This window comes from Homo sapiens, chromosome 11 (genome assembly GCF_000001405.40).
Source record: "Homo sapiens chromosome 11, GRCh38.p14 Primary Assembly".
In the NCBI taxonomy this organism is placed as follows: Eukaryota; Metazoa; Chordata; class Mammalia; order Primates; family Hominidae; genus Homo; species Homo sapiens.
In genome coordinates this window covers 32,824,019-32,846,658 of record NC_000011.10, presented here as the reverse complement: position 1 = coordinate 32,846,658, position 22,640 = coordinate 32,824,019, and the positions used below count along the sequence as shown (strand labels likewise).

Genomic DNA, 22,640 nt, shown 5'->3' with positions numbered 1-22,640 from the left:
CAAACTCATTACCTCACATCTGAATTGCCATGCTAGCATCCTTGTTGGTTTTCCTCTGTCTTCCTGTTTCTCCCAGCTCTAGTACACATTACTTAAGAAAACCAGACTATAAGAGCCATGGGGGCAGACACTATGCTTGTTTTACTCACCGCTGTGTTCCTAGAACCTAGTATATTACCACATTCTCAAAAACCTTCCCCAAAGGCTATTTTTCCTTTTAATCCTCTGCTTAAGTGGTCCACCTCATGTCTGGCAACTCAAATGTAAATTCGTGGCTGCCATTCCAATTATACAACATTTCCCAAGTCACTCACTACTCTTCATCACAGGTCTTAAATCTCTGGTCAAGGGCTTGGCCCCATGGCTCATGCCTGTAATCCTAGCACTTTGAGAGGCAGAGGCAGGAAGATTGCCTGAGGCCAGGAGTTCCAGATCAGCCTGGGCAACATAGTGAGATCCTGTCTCTACAATTATTATTATTATTATTATTTTTTATTATTAAGACAGGGTCTCTCTCCCATTGTCCAGGCTGGAGTGTAATGGCATGATCACGGCTCACAGTAGCCTCCACTTCCTGGGCTCAGGTGCTCCTCCCACCTAAGCCCGCCTAGTAGTTGGGTATAAAGGCACACACCACCACACCTGGCTAATTTTTTTTGTATTTTTAGTAGAGATGGGGTTTTATCATGTTGCCCAGGCTGATCTCAAACTCGTGGGCTCAAGTGATTTTCCTGCCTCGGCTTCCCAAAGCTGGGACTACAGGCATGAGCCACCGTGCCTGGCCTTGGCTTACAATTATTTTTTTAAAAAATCTTTGGTCAAGACTATTTTGCTTATCATCTCCTATATGAGCCTTGGTAGTACCTGTCTTTGCTCCTGTGGGTCCACTTTCTTGAAACACCCCTTCCTAGTTAATTCCTCTAAAACCCATGTCCGCCAAAGTGACTAGTTGTATCCCACACTGATGGTATGCCTGCTTGACTTGACATTCCTAGCCATTTATAAGAACAGTGTTATCTTTTTTTTTTTTTTTGAAACGGAGTCTTGCTCTGTTGCCCAGGCTGGAGTGCAGTGGCACAATCTCAGCTCACTGCAAGCTCCCGGGTTCACGCCACTCTCCTGCCTCAGCCTCCCAAGTAGCTGGGACTACAGGCACCCGCCATCACGCCCGGCTGATTTTTTTTTATTTTTATTTTTAGGAGAGACGGGGTTTCACCGTTTTAGCCAGGATGGTCTCGATCTCCTGACTTCGTGATCCGCCCGTCTCGGCCTCCCAAAGTGCTGGGATTACAGACGTGAGCCACCGCACCCAGCCGAGTGTTCTCTATCTTACAAGTTTATATCCAAGTTGCTTTTTTGTTATGTAGTTGCCTCACTCAAATGGTAATCACTCCATGTAATCTCCTTTATGTGCCATAATACACTATACAAATACTGAGAGTACTAAATGAGAAGGTAGTGTGAAAGTGGTGTACAGTATATGGTTAGCAACAGCAGGTGATGTGGAAGATGGTTATAAATACAGCTAAGGGAGATTTTTTTTATTTTTATTTTTATTTTTTTTACAAGATCATAAAGGTCAGGTAAGCTAGGGAGATTTCATAGGCCAAATAAAATTTTTGTAGATCTACCAAATTTGAAGAAAACTTATTTGCAATATAATACTTTCTGATTATACTATCTATATTACCTTCTGATAATATGTTTTAATTTTATATGAACACTGGAGAATCTGCAGTTCATTTACAGTCTAGACATATTTTTAAAGAAATACAAATATTGGATGGGAATACATAAACATTCCAGTGAAAGCTTTTTAGAAAAATCTTAGTTTGCAAATTCATAATAATAATAGCTGGGCCGGGTGCAGTGGCTCATGCCTGTAATCCCAGCACTTTGGGAGGCCAAGGCACGAGGATTACTTGAGGTCAGGAGTTCAAGTCCAGCCTGGCCAACATGGTGAAACCTCGTCTCTACTAAAAATACAAAAATTAGCTGGGCATGGTGGCAGATGCCTGTAATCTCAGCTACTTGGGAGGCTGAGGCAGGAGAATCGCTTGAACCCAGGAGGCAGAGGTTGCAGTGAGCCGAGATCATGCCACTGTACTCCAGCCTGGGTAACAGAGCTAGACTCCGTCTCAAAATAATAATAATAATAATAATAATAATAATAATAATAATAATAATAATAGCTAACATTTATTGAGTACTTGCTACTCTTGCTACCAAGCACTCTCTTAAGTACTTTTTGTGTATCACGTCATTTAAATCCTGTAAGTCCCTTATGACATACATACAGTTATTATCTGAGCTACCATACTACACAAACCAGAGGGTACCATTCATACAGTAGCCCATGTGAATGGCAACTCTCTGGAACTATGTAGTGTGGTGGCTCAGATTATTACCTTCAATTTACTCACAGAGAAACTGAGGCAGAGTATAAGTTTAAGTAACATTTCCAAAGTCAAACGGCTAGTTAGTGGCGTACCAGGGTTTTGAATCCAGGCAGTCTGGCTCCAGAGCTCACACAGTGAACCACTATACCATATCTATTTCTAGGATAGGGAGAATACACCTTGGTGGTCTCTTCCAGAAACAGGAGCTGGGCTAGGACTAATGTATTTTAGAAAGGAATCACATCTTACTATATTTTAGAATTTAAAAAAACTTCATCAAACATAAATGAAATGCTGTAATAAAACATTTTGAAGAGACTCTATTAATGATTTAAAATTACTGCGCTAGATAAGCCAGTCAAAAATAGACTAATACTGTATGATTCCACTTACATGAGGTGTTATTGTAGTAAAATTCAGAGACAAAAGGTAAAATAGTGGTTGCTAAAGCCTAGGGAGAGGGGAGAATGGGAAACAGTTTGTTCACTGGGCACAGAACTTCACTGTTGCAAAATAAAAAAAAAAAAAACAGAAAAACGGGAGATTGGTTGCACAACAGTGAATCAACTTAATACTACTGAACTGTATACTTAAAAACGGTTAAGATGGTAAATTTTATGTTACATATATTTTACTATTTTTTAAAAATGTACTGCACTGGAAATATATTTAAATTATATTGTTCAGTGCCAAAGGCAAGTTGCAGAGGAGGACATGTAACGAACATTTCTTTTGAAAACATAAAATATGTTATTAGGTTGGTGCAAAAGCAATTGCCAGTACTTTAAATGGCAAAAACCGCAATTGCTTTTGCACCAACTGAATAGTATATGCATAGAAAAAAATCTGGAGTTTTACATACCAAATTCATAATAGTGGTTATTTTTGAAAAGTAGGATTATGAGGACTTTCATTTTTTATATTATACCTTTCTATAATATTTGAATTTTAAAATAATGCATGTATTACTTTTGTAGGCAAAAAACAGGATAAAATCTTTTTAAAGACCTCAGCCTCCATAATCAGCACATTTTCAGATGCTCTTATCACAATGGAAATGATTTTTTAAGCAATTAACACCAGATGAAATGAAACAACCTACTTTAAACTTTCTTCTGGCTGGGCACGGTGGCTCATGCCTGTAATCCGAAAACTTTGGGAGGCCGAAGCAGATGGATCACTTGAAGCCAGGAGTTGGAGACTAGCCTGGCCAACATGGTGAAACCCCGTCTCTACAAAAATTAGCTGGGTGTGGTGGCACACGCCTGTAATCCTAGCTACTCAGGAGACTGAGGCAGGGGAATTGCTTGAACCCAGGAGGCAGAGGTTGCAGTGAGCCGAGATCACACCATTGCACTCCAGCCTGGGCAACAGAGCAAGACTCCATCTCTAAATAATAATAATAATACACTTTCTTCAAGAGAAAATATTTTTATTAAATTTTAGAGGAAAATGTATCTTTTATATTTACTAATTTCATTTACATGTGTATATATGTAAAAGCTTCTTTTTAGTTTTTAATTAATTAATTAATGTTTTGAGACAGAGTTTCACTCTCGCTGCCTAGGCTAGAGTGCAATGGCTTGATCTCGGCTCACCACAACCTCTGCCTCCTGGGTTCAAGTGATTCTCCTGCCTCAGCCTCCCGAGTAGCTGGGATTACAGGCATGTGCCACCACGCCTGGCTAATTTTGTATTTTTAGTAGAGACGGGGTTTCTCCTTGTTGGTCAGGCTGGTCTTGAACTCCTGACCTCAGGTGATCTGCCCGGCTTGGCCTTCCAAAATGCTGGGATTACAGGTGTGAGCCACTGCTCCCAGCCAAGCTTCTTTTTAATAAATAACTTTAAAAACTCTAATTCTGACAATATAATCAAGGGCAAAAAATTTGTTCTCATCTTTGGCAAAATAAAAAAATATTAAGGAACTTTAAGAGGAATCACAGTCTATTCCTTTCATTCCTCTTTTAGATGAGGAAAGATCTTAAAAAAATCAAGGAATTTGCTTCAAGCTCCATAAATAGTGGCAAAATTAACATGAGAATTTTTGCCTCCAAATTCCTAGTTTGGTGCCCTTCCTATACATGTCATTCTATTTTCATTTTATATCTGGATATGAAACAATGAAGAAAAACTTTAAACCAATTAAACAGTTGTGATTAAAGTCTTCCAGTTTCTTATAGGCCTATTTTTATATTGTATTTAGACTTGAATAGTTGTACAATCCTCTTTTAAAATGGACAAAAACTCTAAATATTTAACCAATTAAAAATAATTTTTGATGCCATGTTGTTGTAATTATCTTCTGTTTTTTACTGACTGCCAATAGAATTTTAGAACCACTACAGAATTAAGTATTTTGAAAAGATCTTCACATAAATTTGGAATACTTAACATTGGTTCATTACTATTATCTAACATGTAGCTATATCCAAATTTTCTCCTAAATTTTCCTTTTTGTTGTTGTTGTTGTTGTCCAGGCTGGAGTGCAGTGGTGCAATTATGGCTCACTCCAGCCTTGACTTCCTAGGCTCAGATGATCCTCCCACCTCAGCCCCACAAGCAGATGAGACTACAGCCTCAGGCCACCGTGCCCAGCTAATTTTTGAATTTTTTTTTATAGAGATAGGAGTCTCACTATGTGGCCCAGGATGGTCTTGAGTCTTGAACTCCTGGCCTCAAGTGATCCTCTCACCTTGGCCTCCCAAAGTGCTGGGATTATAGGTGTGAGCCACCATGCCAGGCAAATTTTCCTTTTTAGCAATTCATTTTTTTGGTCTAGGATTCAGTCCAGGATCACACATTGCATTAATTGTCATGTCATTTACTTTAATTTGGAACAGTTATTTCTTTAGCCTGTCTTTGTCTTTCATGACACTGACATTTTTTGAACAATATAGGTCAATTGTTATGTAAAATTTAAAGTTTACTTGATATGAATTGAAAGCTATTATTAATTTAGAAGACAAAGAGTCTTCTAATATATATGATAAAGAATACTTTCTATTCTTTTGGAGGGATACAAAAACACTGCCCATTTTGCTGAAAAGATAAGTAAAATGATCGTTATCATAAAAGAAAGTAACATGATCGCCACCTTGAGCTTGTTCATAGAATTTGAAAGTGTGAATAGTGATAAATAAGTATCAATTTCTAATAGCCTGTTTAGCATCTGCTGCTTTTTTTTTTTTTAATAAGATTGTTTCTACGCCTACTCAGCCATACTTACTGGGAAGATAATCAGTACTTTTTATTTCAATAGGGATGCTGAGCTTCTATTATGCAAACAATTATGGCCTTTATGAATCTTTCTGAAGCTTTATCAATGTGCTATTATCCTCAATTGGTAAGCATTTTATTTTATTAACTTCAATTTAAAGTGTTAATAAAAATAGTTGAATTTAAAAGCCAGTTACACTGTTTCTATTTGGGTAGCCATGTGGATCTGTTAACTCTGTGACTCAGCGTAAACTATAGGACTTCTTGCCTCTGGAAATAATGTGAAGACACTGGTATCTGCCTCTTGCTTAAGAAGGAAATACTGAAAAATGAAGCTGACCTATGTGAAACTTCTTGTATTCTTTCGAAGGACCTTAGAAATAGCATCATTAGGTTGTTTATGTAAATGTTAAATTAGGAGACCAGACAATTGCCACAGACTGGGAAGACATGACAGCTAAATGCAATGTGGTAACTTGACTGGATCCTGCAGCAGAAGGAAAACACCAGTGGGAAAACTGCTGAAATCAAAGTCTGGAGTTTAGTTAATAGTCATGAACCAATGTCATTTTCTTAGTTTTGATAAATCTACTATGGTAATACAAGATATTAACAATGTGGGAAATTGGGTGATGGATATGTGGGAACTCTCTGTATTAACCTTTGCAACTTCCCTATACATCTAAAATTCTTCCAAAATAAAAGGCTTATTTAAGAAAATAGGCAGCCATTTGCTTGACCCATTGTTAAAATAATAATATAGAATGTCTAGTGATGAATTAAATAATTTCACTTAGTACTTACCATGGATGTTGTAGCCTATTACACTTAGTGATACAAAGATAGTAGCCAAGTAATCCAAAAATAACCAAAAATACTCCAGCAGCAATTAATCCAGTCAGAAGGCCCATAACATCTATTTTCTCTCTGTTGCCATCTTAAAATAAATCATTAAAATAACATAAATATAACAACTATATAGCATCACCTATGATTTCAACAAATTTAATCCTGGTTCTAAACACATTATACAGCATCTAATCATTGATGTTGACTTCTTTCAAGTCTTTGTGCTAGAGAATCTACCTGAAAAAAATTTAAATGACACTTCTAATAGCCCTAGTTATGGTTATTCTTTTATTTATTAAAATATAAATATATTTATTTATTTAAAATATATATATTTTTTAAATATTTAAAATATACTACTTATATTTTAATAATATTTAAAATATACTATTTATATTTTAATAGTATTCAAAATATATTTATATTTTAATAATATTCAAAATATATCTATATTTTAATAATATTCAAAATATATTTATATTTTAATAATATTCAAAATATAATACTTATATTTTAATAATATTCAAAATATAATACTTATATTTTAATAATATTCAAAATATTTTGTTATTTAAATTTATTTATTTAAAAATTATTTATTTAAAAATATTTGAAATATCCATTTATTAAATGGATAATATTCAGCATTAAGTGGGATAAACATATTCACTGCTCAACTAGACATACTTTGGTATTAACCACTGAGATAATATTTATTAAGCAACTCAGGGTAGCTATGCAACATAACCTGCCATGGAGGGGGCCCTACCTAAGAGGAATGAAAGAATAGCTGGCGAAAAAAACACCTGACTAAAATGCAGCTAGAGATGATCAATACAGATGAGATAAAGATCTCCCCTCTCTACAAGTTACTTAATTCGATCCAACAATCTTAATTTATCTAGCATAAATGTTCCATCTGCCTTTAATGGTAAAAAAGAAAAAAAGTTAAAATAGCTTACATCTTGAAATGAATAGAATCTGCTTTTATTCTGTGCAAGTCTTGACTTAGCTGAGCTGTTTAAAACAGCTTTAAGCCCATTATCTCATTTTCCTAGTATCTCACCAAACTTGATTTTCAGTGTATTAAATAGATGAATCTGTCCTTTTCTGTCTGAGATAGCCCGGTGCATAGTTGAGAAATCTCCTTGGATTTATAAGGTATGTATGTTGCGCAACAACCAAACTCAAACAATAAAACTAAAATGTATTACAACAGAGAGAGGATGAGAAAAGCATTAAATTTGATCAATTCTTGTTTTACCTGATTTTGTGGTTGGTCCTTTAGCTGAATATTCCTGCCAAAATGCAATCTAAAAAAAAGGTAAAATTCCCAAGTTTATTCAATATCTTTATTATCACATTTCATTTGGTCCTAATGACCTAGACTAGGGGTAGTAAACTCTTGGCATGCACCATAGGTAGGAGACCAGTTCATTCAAGCTGGAGGGTGTGACTCACTCTAATTAAATCACTACCACCCACAGCTGCCTCTGCCATCTCTCTAATTGTCAAGGGATTACTGCCAGTCCCAGCTCTTTACTACTGTGCCTACTATTTTCCCTTCACCTGACTGGAGCCCCCACTAAAGCATTGGGGGAAATTATTGCATTAGAGAGTAGGTGAAAGTACCAAAGGTAGAAGTTGAGGCTGTGGACCCACTATCATGATTGAACAGGAGACTGAAGTTTTCTATGGGAGGTAAGCCCTCAGTTTGTCTCAGGAGATTTTTTTTTTTTTCCGGACAGGATTACTCTGTTGCCCAAGCTGGAGTGCAGTGGTGTGATCATGGCTCACTGCAGCCTTGACCTTCCAGGCTCAAACGATCCTCCCACCTCAGCCTCCCGAGTAGCTGGAACTACAGGCGCCTGACACCACGCCCAGGTAATTTTTTCTTTTTTGCAGAGATGGAGTTTCATCGTGAAGCCCAGGCTGGTCTTGAACTCCTGGGCTCAAGTAATCCTCCCACCTCTGCCCCGCAAAGTGCTGGGATTACAAGCATGAGCCACTGTGCCCTTCTGGGAGATCTTATTGAAAGGTATTTATTGATTTGGGAAGACATTGTTGAGACAATTTTAAGTTCAGTGCTACTTGAGAGAATAGAAATGAATTTTAAGGAACTATGATAAAATTATAAAAGATTTGTGAAAAACAGAATAAAATTCCAACAGACACAACTACACAGTATATGCTTCGTTTTCCTCCTTAATAGAAACAGCAAATACTTGTAGGGAAGGATACCTGGGGAGGTTCTTATTGAACAAAAAGTAAAATAGGACTCTTAAGAAAGGGAAAAAGGAGCTAGGGTTATGAAATCTACAAAAGTAAAGAATTTAGGGCCAGGCATGGTGGCTCATGCCTGTAATCCTAGCACTTTGTTAGGCCGATGGAGATGGACTGCCTGAGCTCAGGTGTTTGAGACCAGCCTGGGCAACATGGTGAAACCCTGTCTCTACTAAAATACAAAAAATTAGCCAGGCGTGGTGGCATGTGCCTGTAGTCCCAGCTGCTTGGGAGGCTGAGGCAGGAGAATGGCTTGAACCCGGGAGGTGGAGGTTGCAGTGAGCCGAGATTGCTCCACTGCACTCCAGCCTGGGCGACTCCGTCTCCAGATAATAATAATAATAATAATAATAATAATAATAATAATAATCATCATCATCATCATCATCATCATCATCATCATCTCAGTTAGTTAACATTTTTCAAGACTATGCCAGATTATCACAGGCACAATGCCATCTGTTTTGTACCTTATCAAGATTAACAGAATTTAGTTATATTCTAAGAAAGAACTTTTAAAAATGTTTCCCTCAAATTACACTGATAGACCAAATAATATACTTCCGAATACAAGGGCTATATGTTTTGTATCCTCAGGTTCAAGGAGAATACCTGGCACATAGCAGACTTCCAGTAAATACTTGAAATACAAATATGGGTCATCAAAAAAGGTAAGGTCACCGATAGGACAAATTACTCAGTCATAAATGATTGAAGCCTGAGTTAGAGCACTAACCATAAAATCTTGGAGTTAAATTCACTCCGCCATAAATGATTGAAGCCTGAGTTAGAGCACTAACCACAAAATCTTGGAGTTAAATTCACTCTGCCCCATGATTACTTTTAAATATAATAAACATTAAACACACAAAATCACAACAGTCAATAATTTACTAACTACTATGAAACCAGTTAATTAGGTGTAAAGCCAAGTCTAAATAGGTTAATTACCATTTTAAGGAAGTAGAAAGAGATAGCAGGTACATAATCCTGATTGTGTTTAAGGCATAAAATCTCTAATAACTGAAAGTGCCACTTTCTTAAGTACAATTTAACATTTCCAGCCAATTAACATAATCAACCACATTACCGTTTTATCTTCATCCACAAAAATCTCTCTGGCTTCCTCATAATTGCAAAGTTCTTCATTGCACTCTCTTTCTAGGTTGCCGGGAGTGAAGAGCTCCAGATCAAATCTATTATACAGAAGGCGTCTATGTATGAAAAAGTTTGCTTCTTCTTTTGATGTAAACACTAATAAAGTAATGAAAAAGACTTAAACATTGATCAAATATAGTCAAAAAATTCCTGTTTTAATTGTGGAAAAAAGTGAATAGTTCTCTTGATGTGGCTAAATTATACCAAACTTTTTTGTAAAGTTTTAAAATCTAACCCAAAAAAAGAAAGAAAAAGCATCAGTGAAGATAATTTCTGATAAATGTGAAATACAAAGTTAGCATAATTCCACTGGAGTTGATTATGTCCAAAATTAATAGTATAAGTAAAAATTATTTAAATATCTCTTTTCCCTCCAGATAATTATTTTTCCAACAATTGACAGGTCTGTTTCTAAAGAATTGGTTCCCTATTATCTTGACTGAGAAAAATTAGTGGGGCATCATGGACAACATATTGAACTGAGAGTTAGAAGACAGCTTTTTGTTCTGATTTAGCTTAAGTTATCAGGTGTGTATTCTGAGATAAGTCACTTATATTCTTTGGGCTGCCATTTCCTAATTTATAAAATTGGGAATTAAATAATCACTAAGATCTCTTTAAGTTATTAATTATTATTATTATTATTATTTTTGAGAGGGGGCCTCACTCTGTCACCGGGCCTGGAGTGCAATGGCACAGTCTCAGCTCACTGCAATCTCCGCCTCCTGGGTTCAAGTGATTCTCTTGCCTCAGCCTCCCAAGTAGCTGGGACTACAGGCACGTGCCACCACGCCCAGCTAATTTTTGTATTTTTAGTAGATATGAGGTTTCACTATTTTGGCCAGGCTGGTCTTGAACTCCTGACCTCATGATCCACCCACCTGAGCCTCCCAAAGTGCTGGGATTACAGGTGTAAGCCACCGTGCCTGGCCAAGTTCTTAAATTACAAATTAATACTTTTATATTAAAATTGCTGTATTCAAGTTTATGCTAAAACTTATAAAATTCTAAACTTCTAAATTAATAAAACTATAAGCTAATTATAAGATTTAACTAAAGACATTTAGTCCTTTCCAAAGTAGCAGCTCCCTCTACGGTACACCCCAAATACGTGTCTATAATGTTTTATAAGGTTCCCTTTACATTTGACGGGAAGGTAAATGGTAAACACTACAGGTTAAGAACAGGCTGACACAAAACCAAAGCATCCAACCATGGTAGTATTTTCAAAACCCACAAACTTTAAACTTGTTCTGGTGTCACACAAACAAAGCTTAAGAGATTTTGCTTCAGATCATATTACTGAGACTGGAATTCAGAAACTGAGAACTACATCACAATGCTTAAAAGAATTTAAAAGTGCGGATACTTTTCACTGCTCACCATTTCTAAAGAAAGAATGTATTAAAGTAGGCAATTGAAAGACTGTTCATGAGAGATCATGGTCTGGAAAACTCATACTGATTTTTGAGTGACCTCAAGTTGTACATTTATTTTTGGCCCTTTGAGAACAGTCACATTTTGTCCAAGATATTTTTTCCACAAATGAATTATCTTTCCAAACAGGTCTGAATGTTCTAAAACTATTTTGTCTAATATGGTAGCCATTAGCCACAGATGGCTATTGAGCACTTGAAATGTAGCTTGTGGCTGGGAGTAGTGGCTCATGCCTGTAATCCCAGCAGGCTGAGGCAGGTGGATCGCTTGAGCCTAGGAGTTGGAGACCAGCCTGGGCAACAAGATGAAACCCCGTCTCTACAAAAAATACAAAAATTAGCCCGGTGTGGTGGTGCACGCCTGTAGTTCCAGCTACTCGAGAGGCTGAGGTGGGAGGATCACTTGAGGCCAGGAGGCAGAGGTTGCAGTGAGCTGAGATCATGTCACTGCCCTCCAGCTTGGGTGACAGAGCAAGATCCTATCTCTAAATAAATAAATAAACAAGAAATGTGACTTGTCTGAATTGAAATGTGCTGTAAGTGTAAAATACACACAAGGATTTCAAAGACTTGGTGTTAAAAAAAAAAAGAATGTGAAATGTCTCCATAATGTTTTATATTGCTTATATTTTAAAATGGTGATATTTCAGACACAAGATTAAATTAAATACATTCTTAAAATTAATTTCACCTATTACTTTTTAGTTTTAAAATGTGGCTATTAGAAAAATTTAAATTATGTATGTAGTTCACATTATATTTTGGGGGAGCAGCAATATTCTACAGTGTCCATTTCTATATTATAAATAATAGATAGGGGCTATTTGAACCAAGCAGGAAGCTACAATGGGATAATTGGTGATAGTTGTTTTAAAAAGTATTCTAAAAGGTAGATAGAGGGGCTAGTGTGATGAAATATTTCTATTCTGTTTCCTCCTTTGTCTTCTTGTAGATTTTATATTACCACCAAATGGACATAGAATGAAAAATTTTCCAAGCCTCCATCACCCCTCACTGGGATTCCTACAATGGTCTTCCATGGGTCTCCTTGCTGCTCTACCATCTGTTTTTAACATAACAGCCAAAGAGGGCCCTTTAAAAGACAAGATAGACTGTTCCTACTTTGCTTTTTAAAAACCTTCTAACAGCAATTCCACCCCCTGCAGAGTAAGAGCCAAAGTCATTACAGTGGCTTACAAGGCCCTTCTCTGTCTGGTCCCCAAGCCCTTACCTCTCTAACCTCATCTCCCACCACTATCCCTCACGTATTCTGTTGTAGCTATGCTGGCTTCCAACACACCTGGTTCTCTCTGGCCTTTGTACTTACTGTTTCTTCTGAACAGAACTTTCTTCTTTCAGTTTGCTCTCTCACATCCTTCAGGATTTTGTTCAATGCTACCTTGAAACCCCATCCCTACCCACCCCTGGCACTCCCTGTCCACACTCTGCCTTTCTCCATAGTACTCATCACCATCTGGTTTTCTATATGCTTTACTTATTTGTTACCACTCTGTTCTCCTCACTAGAAGAAAAGCTCCATTAAAGCAGGGATGTTGGTTCTTGGCCCATAAGAGGTGCTCAAAAAATTACTGACTGAATGAACAAACTCAACTTTGCTATAGTGGGAGGAAACTCTTGGACCTAAAGTCTACCAGTTGAAGCAATTCATAGGTATAGTCTGGTGTTTCTCAGCTCGGCATAGGTTTAAAGTATAAAACTATTGATTAAGCAACCCATAGCCTGCCTCACTTAGCTATACTTACTGCATGAAATCTAAGTTCAGAATGGAGAATTAGATATCTGCCTCTGTATACTTCTCAAATATGTCCAGATCCTTACATTTTATTGGCTAAAAAGAGCAGTGCCAAATTTCTCATGACAGTCTTCTGTTCCAGTAGGTTGAGTTATTAAAAATACAACCCCATGGAACTCAAAAGCTACTTTGATAGAGGAAACAGAAAAAGGGAGAGCCACAAACATTTTTATTTTTCCTGAAATAATATTTATGCCAATATCATAAATATGATATTTATGATTAATCATGCTATTATGATTAACACTGTATTAAATCCGCCTTCCAGGGGCTGCTGCTTGCCACTTCCCTGAGTGTGCAAGTTCTGATTCTGTCACTGACTGACTTTTGGTGCCAGATCAAATTTTTCCCTGCATCCCTTAGGATCTCAGGAGAAATATTGTCTTTTGTTACTGGATTCTAAGTAACCCTGAACTTGCTTTTAATTGAAAGGAAGCAAACTTCCCTGCCCTTGAAACACCCTTGGCTTTTAGCAAGAGCTCCTATTTTCCCCTTGACCATGGCTGGAGGATGCAATGGCCTTGGCTCTGCTTCCTTAGATTCTCTACCCTTCTCTATTTTTCCTGTCTTAGACTATCCTAAGAGGCTGTCCATGCATTTCACTGCTATAAATTCACCAACCCAGATATTCCGTTCTTCTCCTCACTTCTATCTCCTCATGTTTTCTAAATAGCTCCTTTTCAGTCATTTCAACTCTACCGTCATGCTTTATCAGATTTTAGGGCCAGGCGCGGTAGCTCACGCCTGTAATCCCAGCCCTTCGGGAGGCCGAGGTGGGAGGATCACCTGAGGTCAGGAGTTCAAGACCAGCCTGGCTAACATGGTGAAACCCCGTCTCTACTAAAAATACAAAATAAATTAGCTGGGACAGTGGTGCGCACCTGTAATCCCAGCTACTCGGGAGGCTGAAGCAGGAGAATTGCTTGAACCCAGGAGGTGGAGGTTGCAGTGAGCCGTGATCACGCCACTGCACTCCAGCCTGGGAGACAGAGCGAGACTCTGTCTGAAAAAAAAAAAAAAAAAAAGAATTTCACCAAAGGTCCTTTATTTCCAGTTACTTTTCATATCTCCATTTATTATAGCCCATTTGCAGATGGAAGGCATTGGCTTCTCTGCCATACAACTCTCTTGAGGCAGAGTTACTGCTACTCACTCTTTCCTCTGCTCTCAGTTCTGTGTTCTGGCTTCTGTTATACAGTTGATGGAGATCGTCTGTTTAACAAACACCCTGCCTCCCACACAGATGAAGATGTCCTCCAGGGCAGAGATTGCAGTCTTTCATTTCTATGTCTCCACCACACAGCACGGGGCCTGGCACTTAGCATGTGTTCATCAAGTGGTGACTGACTGAACAAGTTGTCTTTTCAAATGTGTCGGATCCCTCATTCACATTTCCACAGACATCTCCAGCCCTCCACACTCAAGTATGATCTCTAAATTCCTTCCATAGCTTGTGGTGTCCTTGAGACTGTCTTTTATTTATTTATTTATTTATTTGCTTTTATTTTTATTTTTTGAGATGGAGTCTCACTCTGTCGCCCAGGCTGGAGTGCAGTGGCACGATCTCAGCTCACTGCAGCCTCTGCCTCCCGGGTAGCTGGGATTATAGGCACGTGCCACCAAGCCAGGCTAATTTTTGTATATTTAGTAGAGACGGGGTTTCACCATGTTGGCCAGGCTGGTCTCGAACTCCTGACCGCAGGTGATCCACCTGCCTCGGCCTCCCAAAGTGCTAGGATTACAGGTGTGAGCCACCGTGCCGGCGAGAGTGTCTCTTATACCCGTGTCATGTGAATGAATGATTGCACTCACAATCATTTTAGGGAAGAGCATCTGATTATGGAACCTTATAAGTGCAACCTTCTAAGTGGACTTACATATATGGTGCAGCTTGAGAGGGACTAAAAAGGATCCTCTTCCAAAATCTCTCCCTCTCTCTCTAGCTAGCCTATCCAGTTGCTAGAATTCTGTCATCAGAGTTTCACGCCTTTGGGTTAATGGATTGTTCTAGCTCAACACACACAAACACAGCTGTATTAATCATTAATAAAGTCAGTTAGGAGTACTAGTGTAACAGATCCTTCCCAAATGAAAATGAGCTGAGAATCGGATCTGATGAGAAGGGATAAGAGACAGGAATGTGTGGGGACGTGGATCCAGAGTACTGACACTGAGTGGGGAAGCACCATGAATAGTCAGGGAGAAGGATGCTGAGAGACAGAGGCTTTTTTTTTCTTCTGGTTTTACTAGGTTAGGCTTTTAAGATATAGGCAGGAAACAAACTGTTAATGATCTGAAACCTAAAAACTGTGGACTTCCAGGTTAGCAAGCCCCAAACCTAATCTTTTCTCAACTAGCTGCTTTTATCTAGACAACTAGACCATCTGAAGTCAAAAAGGACCTCAGAGATCATTTTACGCCCCACCCGCATCACTTTTACAGATGAAGACATTCAAGCCAAACGGGATTAAGTTATCTCGCCCAGGGTCTCGCAAGTCCAGACTAGATCCTGGACTCCCCGTTCGCCTCTCCAGGAAGAACAAGTAATTATGCTTATTATAATCGCCACACAGCTTCATCTAGAGAAATGTCACTCACTGATTTTCAGAAGCTGAAATAGGTTTTCCATTCAATTAACCACAAACTAGGTCTTACGTATATACTTATTAAAGGAGACTCACAGACATCAAATTCTATAAATTGCAGTTAAAGAACATAAAAAAACACAACCTTGCCAAATATGCCACAAATTAAACTAAAGGATATTTTAGTGTTTCTATGATTGCTGGGGGTATGTAATTTCAAATACTGCACTTTCTCACTGAGATCTGTGCTATGCGGCTCTGGGTTCCAGGGACGTTTTAGTGCTTACCTTCTTCTCCCGCATGCTTAGAAGCCTTTGGACCTCTTGCGCAATGAGGAAACCCCAGGGTAACTGTGGGCAGTTGGCTGAGTAGAACCAGAAGCGTAAACATAGTCTGGCAACTGTCAAACAAACTAAAACAAACAAAAAAAAATATTAAAAAAAAAAGGCCCCTAGCTCAGCACTTTGAGTTTCTGTCGAACTGAATCACCAACCTGTTGTACTCAAAGCCTAGGCGCAAGAGCGCCCGGCGCGCGGTTTCGGTCGCCGGAACCCGACGCGCGCCCAGGAAGCAGCCCCTGAGAGCGCCTGGGACAAACGCCGTGCCCAGTGACCCTGCCGAGGGCTGATCGGGCACCTGTCGCCGCGGGCAACCCTCGCTATGTGTTCGAATCCAACCCAGTCCGCCGAGGTGGCCCCTTCCAGGTAACCCCCTCCCCGCCGAGGTCCTGCCGCCAGGCCTCGTACCTGTGTCCCCCCGCACATGTTCCAGCAGCCCCCGGGCCAGAGGCTCTTCTTGGGGCGGTTCCTTCGGCCGCCAGGCCCTCGGTCTCCGGCGCCCTCAAACCTCGGCGACGCTCCGGGCCTCGCTCTCCGCAGGGTCTGGATGGCCCCCGCGCGCAAACCTGGGAAGGGCCTGGGGTTCGCAGAGGGGCGCCCGGGGAACACGCGCGGGGTGAGGTCCTGCCTCGGTCCGGGGAGGCGGCCGACGGAGGACGGGAGGAGGCGGCTACCTGGGGACACCTGGCCGCGCCCCACCTCCCGGGGGCCGGGCCTACCTGCGGCGAGCGGGCGGGCAGTGGGCCGGCGTCTCCCGGGAGCCCGCGCTGCGCTCTCAGCCGCCCCAGCTTCTGCCCCATCCCCGGGCGGGCCAGCCGCCTGCCGCCAGTTCTGGCCCCGCCTTGGCGGCGCGGGTGGCTGCTTTTCGATTTGTGTCTGCACTCGGCGTTCTCAATGATCCTAATTCAGGAAGCATTTCGGTTCTCAGTCTTAAGCAGAGCGCCCTCGGCGCGTCCAGGGCTTTTCGCTTTGGGTCCCACTGGGCCAGGAGTCCTGTGGTTACCTTAGGTCAACTGTTCTCAAAAGGGTGGTCCGGGGACGAGGACAAGATATTCATCAGACAAAATACCCTTTATTCGTGATAAGAAATGGAAATGACCTTACAAGTAATTGATTACATTGGTTCTCCAATGGTGGTCCGCCAGGTCTGGGATGTCTCCAAGATCTTTTCCAGGGGTCTCTGAGGGCAAAACTATTTCCATTATAGTAACAATAAATGATTTGCCATTTTCACTTTCATTCTCTCAAGAGTGTACAGTGGAAATTTCCAGGGGCTATTTGAAGTGTAATAACGTCATCATTCTGTCTCCTAATAGAATACCTGAGTGAGCGTGCTTGTATTTTCTGGTATTTTCCATAGTAGTATGTTTACATTATCAGTATGTACATTTTATAGAGATTTATGTAGATTTATAGAGATTAATAAAATTTGTTCTCAGTACTTGTGAACTTAATTTTTTTTCTTTCCTTTTTTCTTTTTCAGAGTAGGGGGTCTCACTTTGTTGCCCAGGAACTCCTGGGCTCAAGAGATCCTCCTGTCTCATCCTCCAGAGTAGCTGGGACTACAGGTGTCCACCAACTCTCTTGGCTACTGCTTTTGTACTTTGATTAGTTCTATTTGTTCATATCTACTAGGATAGCTATAACCTCATTTTTCTGAAGTAATTATCTTGAAATCTTGATCTTTTCCTTGAGTCTATGCATAAACATAACAAAAAGTAAGCTTTGTTGTCTTGATTTCAAATAATATTTTGAAAATTTCTCAGTTTTAATGTTAGATAATAAATATCATTAGATAAAATTCACATAAGTGAAAGCTCTTTGGGGTCCTTGATAATGTAAAAGAGCGTAAAAAGGTCTTGATTAAAGACTTCAAAAACTGCTGCATCAAGTAATGAAGGCAGCAGGTGGACAGAGTACCTATGCCAGGTGATGGTCACATCCTTCTTTATCCAAAGAACGTGCTTAACAGTTCTTTGAAACACTATTTATGCTTTGGTCGAAGTGGTCTGGCACTTGCTGGGGACCAAGGGAAACATTTTTTCCCCCTTCATTTTTTTTTTTTTTTTCTTGAGACAGAGTCTTGCTCTGTCACCCAGGCTGGAGTACAGTGGCACAATCTTGGCTTACTGTAACCTTCGCCTCCTGGGTTCAAGCGATTCTCCTGCCTCAGCCTTCCGAGTAGCTGGGATTACAGGCATCCACCACCACGCCCGGCTAATTTTTTGTACATTTAGGAGAGAGGGGTTTTCACCATGTTGGCCAGGTTGTTCTCAAACTCCTGACCTCAGGTGATCCACCTACCTCGGCCTCCCAAAGTGCTGGGATTACAGGCATGAGCCACTGTGCCCGGCCTCAAATTTTTGACTAATTCAATTTTTACCAAATTCTGTTTTTCTCCTCCCAAAGGATATTGTCTATTTTATTATTATTATTGATAATCAACTGAATTATTCCTAAGTTTTCTGCAGAAATTTTGTTTTCACTGATTCCTTCTAGGCAGTGCTTTTCCTTTCCCTTCTTCCAATCCCTTCCTCTTCACTTTCCATTTGTCTACCTCGTGGTCTAAACTATTTCTATGATGGATTCTTCTTTCCCTCTTATTCAAGCAATTGGGATCAGACTATGAAGAGGCCAGACATGGTTTATTGTGGTTGAACACAAGAATAGGAAACATTTTCACTAGAACACCCATTTTCCTGTTTATTCATTGAGTCAACCTACAGCACTGAGACCTCCTGGTGGGGAGATGGACACCACAGCTTCTGTTGTGGAGGAGAACTTAATCTGACTGAGACCTATATCTGAGAATGTGGGCCTGTAAAGTTCTTATCAAGTGCAAGAACTGACTTATTCATTTTTGCATTCTCGACAGTACCCAGGGGAGTGCTTTCTACATTGTTCGTGCTGAATACATTTTCATGGAGTGGAAGCAATTTATCTTCAGGTAGGAAAAGTGCTTCATTTCCCACTACTTTGGGGAGAGGCCAATGGTCAAATGCCTCATGCTATGGAATCAGCAGTTGTGAACTTTGATGACATTCCTTGGTAAAATGAGTCTGCCCACATATCTGGATATTTGGACCAAAACAAATGAGGCCTTGTGCTGACATCAAATATCAGAGTTTATAGACAGAGAGGGAGGCAGACAGAGAAATGAAGTCTGTTTCTCAGTAGTGAATTACATCCCTGTGTGTTTCCCTGTAACATTGAGTCCTAGAGAATGTTACAGCATTTGGCAGCATGCACACAAACTTCAGTCACTACGGAGCTGCAAGATATTTTGAGGTTAGATGGCAAAGAGAGAAATGAGAAAAGCCAGTAACAACAATGCCCAAGAGAGCTGATTTCTTCTATTATTTCCTTGCTGTATTAATTTTATTTTGTGCCATCTGCTATTTAAAGTTATAATATTCTTGGTCGGGCACGGTGGCTCACACCTGTAACCTCAGCACTTTGGGAGGCCTAGGCGGGCAGATCATGAGGTCAGCAGTTTGAGACCAGCCTGGCCAACACAGTGAAACCCCGTCTCTACTAAAAATACAAAAAAAAATTAGCCAGGCATGGTGGCAGGCACCTGTAAGTCCAGCTACTCGGGAGGCTGAGGCGGGAGAATCGCTTGAACCCAGGAGGCAGAGGTTGCAGTGAGCCGAGATCGCGCCATTGCCCTCCAGCCTGGGCAACAAGAGTGAAACTCCATCTCAATAATTATAATAATAATAATGTTATAATATTCTTATGCCTTTCTTCCAAAGCATTTTAAGTGTTCTCACAGATGGTATTTTTCTTATACTGGCTATCTGTGGAGTTGGGCTAGATATTATAATTCTCATTTTACAAAGAGGGATATTGAAGCATGAAGTAAATGAATAGTCATCGGCCAAGTAGTAGCTTGGTTCTTGACTCTGGGTTTTTTTTTTTGTTTTTTTTTTTTTGAGTTATTATCAAGCAATAAAGGGCAGTAGGTAAAGAATTATTTAGTTCAGAGGGAATAAGAAAAAAAATTGGAGCAATGAGATTAATGGACTTGGATTAATGTGATAATGCATCTCTGAATTTGAGCACATACCCGCCCACTTACCTGTGTGAATTCAAGAATGAAATGAAAACTCACTTTACTGTGTGGGCATGAGGATGGACTCAAGGACTGTGACAGGAGATGTTAAGATTGCAGCCATGAAGCTCTGTAAGTAAAGTCACCTCCACATCCTTAAAGGCACATCGATGACTATCATTAGCCTCTTGAAGAGATGCAACTTTATTAAACTTGCTGTTGCCGTGACATTTTAGCCTTGACATTTCAACATCAATTGTTTGCTGTTTTAGTTTATCTCAGTATAGTCAGCAAGTGAGAAATGAAAGACTCCTACTGTTCCAGGTTGATTATATATCTACATGCAGGTATTTTCAGATTCAACAAATCAGTAAAGGGGTTAAGAATTTTATTTTAAACATTTGCTTAAAGCCCTTTAAGGACACTTTTGAACAGAACTTTAATTCTACTATTTAAGAACAATGATTGTTAATAACAAAAAAGTTAAATAAAAGAACAGTGTGAGGGGTCATCTGATTTCATGTCACACTGTGAGTAGTAATAAGGCCTACGTGTCATGTTTAAAATATATTAATCTTTATAGCTCTTAGAGCGCACCGGAGCTGCCCCCAGGGACCTATGACAGGGACTTGTGTCATGGCTGGCCACAGAACTGTCACTCTGTGTACTGATGTTGGCATTTTTACACCTATTGTACACTTATCAGCCTTATTTTCTCATCATAGTCTTACTTTCTGATTGCCACACAATTTTTGGCCTTTTTTTTGTGAACTCATATTCAAGTGATCATGATATTCTAAGCAAAGATTATTTGGCATCAGTTGCAAAACTATACTTTCCAAACACATGTGAAAAAGGAGTTTAAACAAATTAGGCATTTCTAGCTATGCAATTGACGGTGTTTAAGAATCATTTGTTAATTCTGCATCAGAGGCCAAGCGCTCACGCCTGTAATCCCAGCACTTTGGGAGGCTGAGGCAGGTGGATCACCTGAAGTCGGGAGTTCGAGACCAGCCTGACCAACATGGAGAAACCCCATCTCTACTAAAAATACAAAATTAGCCAGGTGTGGTGGTGCATGTCTGTAATCCTATCTACTTGGGAGACTGAGGTAGCAGAATCGCTTGAACCCAGAAGGTGGAGGTTGCGATGAGCCGAGATGGTGCCATTGCACTCCAGCCTGGGCAACAAGAACAAAACTCAATCTAAAAAAAAAAAAAAAAAAAAAAAAAGTCTGCATCAGAAAAAGATGATAATGAAGTGTTAATGTTGTCGGTACTGAAAGACACACATTACATGGAAGTTCTATTAGGAAATATACCAACCAGGATCTGTTTATCCTCCTTTGGTGAAGGATTCTCCTTTGTTATTTTATGTACCGCCCTGGCTTGACACTCTTGAATGAAGTGTAAACTGAGAGTTTTGTTTTGTTTCGCTTTTCTGGAGACAGGGTCTCACTCTATTGCCCAGGCTGGAGTGCAGTGGCAGTTTCACAGCTCACTGCAGCCTCAACCTCCTGGGCTCCAGCGATCCTTCTGCCTCAGCCTTCAGAGTAGCTGGGACCTCAGGCACATGCCATCATGCCTGGCTAATTTTTGTATTGTTTGTAGAGACAGGGGTTTTGCCATGTTGCTCAGGCTGGTCTGGAATTCCTGGGTTCAAGGGATCTTCCCGCCTTGACCTCCCAAAGTGCTGGGATTACAGGCATGAGCCACGGCACCAGGCTTAACTGAGTTTTGAAGTATAAAATATGGATTTTAAAGCGTGGTTTCTTTTACTGATGCTTACTAATGGCTTTAGTAAAGTTTATGGATGTTCCTTACCCAGCCTGGACACTTCAATCCTGACAGTCCCTTGAGAGCCAAGGAGCAACATTTACCCATGTTTGTATTTTTGCTGCTTAGTACCTCACCTGGCTGGCATGTAGCAGGACTTCCTGGTTTTTAAGTGAATGAAACAATAAATAAGTTCTAGTCCTAAGTCTGCTTCTCCCTAGCTAGATGACTTTGAACAAGTCACTTCTCTGAATTCTCTCTACCTCTTCTGAGACATTGTGAGTTTGGTCTGCATGAACTCTAAGATTCCTTCCTGTTCTAAAATTCTATTTAAGTAATTTTCTAATTATTCTTTCTCATTCTGGATAGTCTTGAATTACTTGCTTTTATATAATTTGTATATTATATAAAAGGCAATCAATCATATACAAATAAAAATTTTAGAATTTATCTGTAAACACAAATTATATATTTTATAAGTTTTTCACCCACAATTATATAAAATGGGAAGTTGATGGGAAATCTCTATGTGACAAAAGATACAAAAACATTTTTAGGGGCTGGGCGTGGTGGCTCACACCTGTAATCCTAACACTTTAGGAATCTGAAGCAGGCAGATTACTTGAGGTCAGGAATTCGAGACCAGCCTGGCCAACATGGTGAAACCCCGTCTCCACTAAAAATACAAAAATTAACTGGGCATGGTAATGCATGCCTGTAATCCCAGCTACTCT

General features: G+C 39.8%; 2 protein-coding genes across 4 annotated transcripts in view, besides 3 other annotated features; one reads left to right on the top strand and one right to left on the bottom strand.

Annotated features, from left to right (window-relative positions):
* Window positions 1–16,870, bottom strand: part of PRRG4 (proline rich and Gla domain 4) — a 28,332-nt gene extending 11,462 nt beyond the window's left edge. Inside the window, exons 1-5 of one of the 3 annotated variants that reach the window (XM_006718314.4) lie at window positions 16,797–16,870; window positions 16,027–16,151; window positions 9,838–10,001; window positions 7,729–7,777; window positions 6,420–6,552 (exon numbers count right to left, since the gene is read on the bottom strand). In XM_006718314.4, coding sequence (XP_006718377.1) covers window positions 6,420–6,552; window positions 7,729–7,777; window positions 9,838–10,001; window positions 16,027–16,129 — 449 coding nt within the window. In that variant the 5' untranslated portion in view covers window positions 16,130–16,151; window positions 16,797–16,870. Of the gene's footprint in view, window positions 1–6,419; window positions 6,553–7,728; window positions 7,778–9,837; window positions 10,002–16,026; window positions 16,152–16,485; window positions 16,733–16,796 lie in introns of those variants that run through there. The other 2 variants (NM_024081.6, XM_006718313.4) reach the window with 2 other exon arrangements.
* Window positions 16,036–16,095: an enhancer, noted in NCBI's record as "active region_4567". NCBI's record gives its function as "activates an Ori minimal core promoter by ATAC-STARR-seq in GM12878 lymphoblastoid cells {active_cell/tissue: GM12878}" and the evidence as "EXISTENCE:reporter gene assay evidence [ECO:0000049][PMID:35858748]".
* The window catches only part of CCDC73 (coiled-coil domain containing 73), a 227,865-nt gene continuing 221,298 nt past the window's right edge, over window positions 16,074–22,640 (top strand). The window contains exons 1-2 of the mRNA XM_047427029.1: window positions 16,074–16,443; window positions 18,953–19,024. The gene's annotated coding sequence lies outside the window, so the exon portion shown is untranslated. The remainder of the gene's footprint in view (window positions 16,444–18,952; window positions 19,025–22,640) is intronic.
* Window positions 16,106–16,155: an enhancer, noted in NCBI's record as "active region_4566". NCBI's record gives its function as "activates an Ori minimal core promoter by ATAC-STARR-seq in GM12878 lymphoblastoid cells {active_cell/tissue: GM12878}" and the evidence as "EXISTENCE:reporter gene assay evidence [ECO:0000049][PMID:35858748]".
* Window positions 16,576–16,955: a silencer, noted in NCBI's record as "silent region_3226". NCBI's record gives its function as "represses an Ori minimal core promoter by ATAC-STARR-seq in GM12878 lymphoblastoid cells {active_cell/tissue: GM12878}" and the evidence as "EXISTENCE:reporter gene assay evidence [ECO:0000049][PMID:35858748]".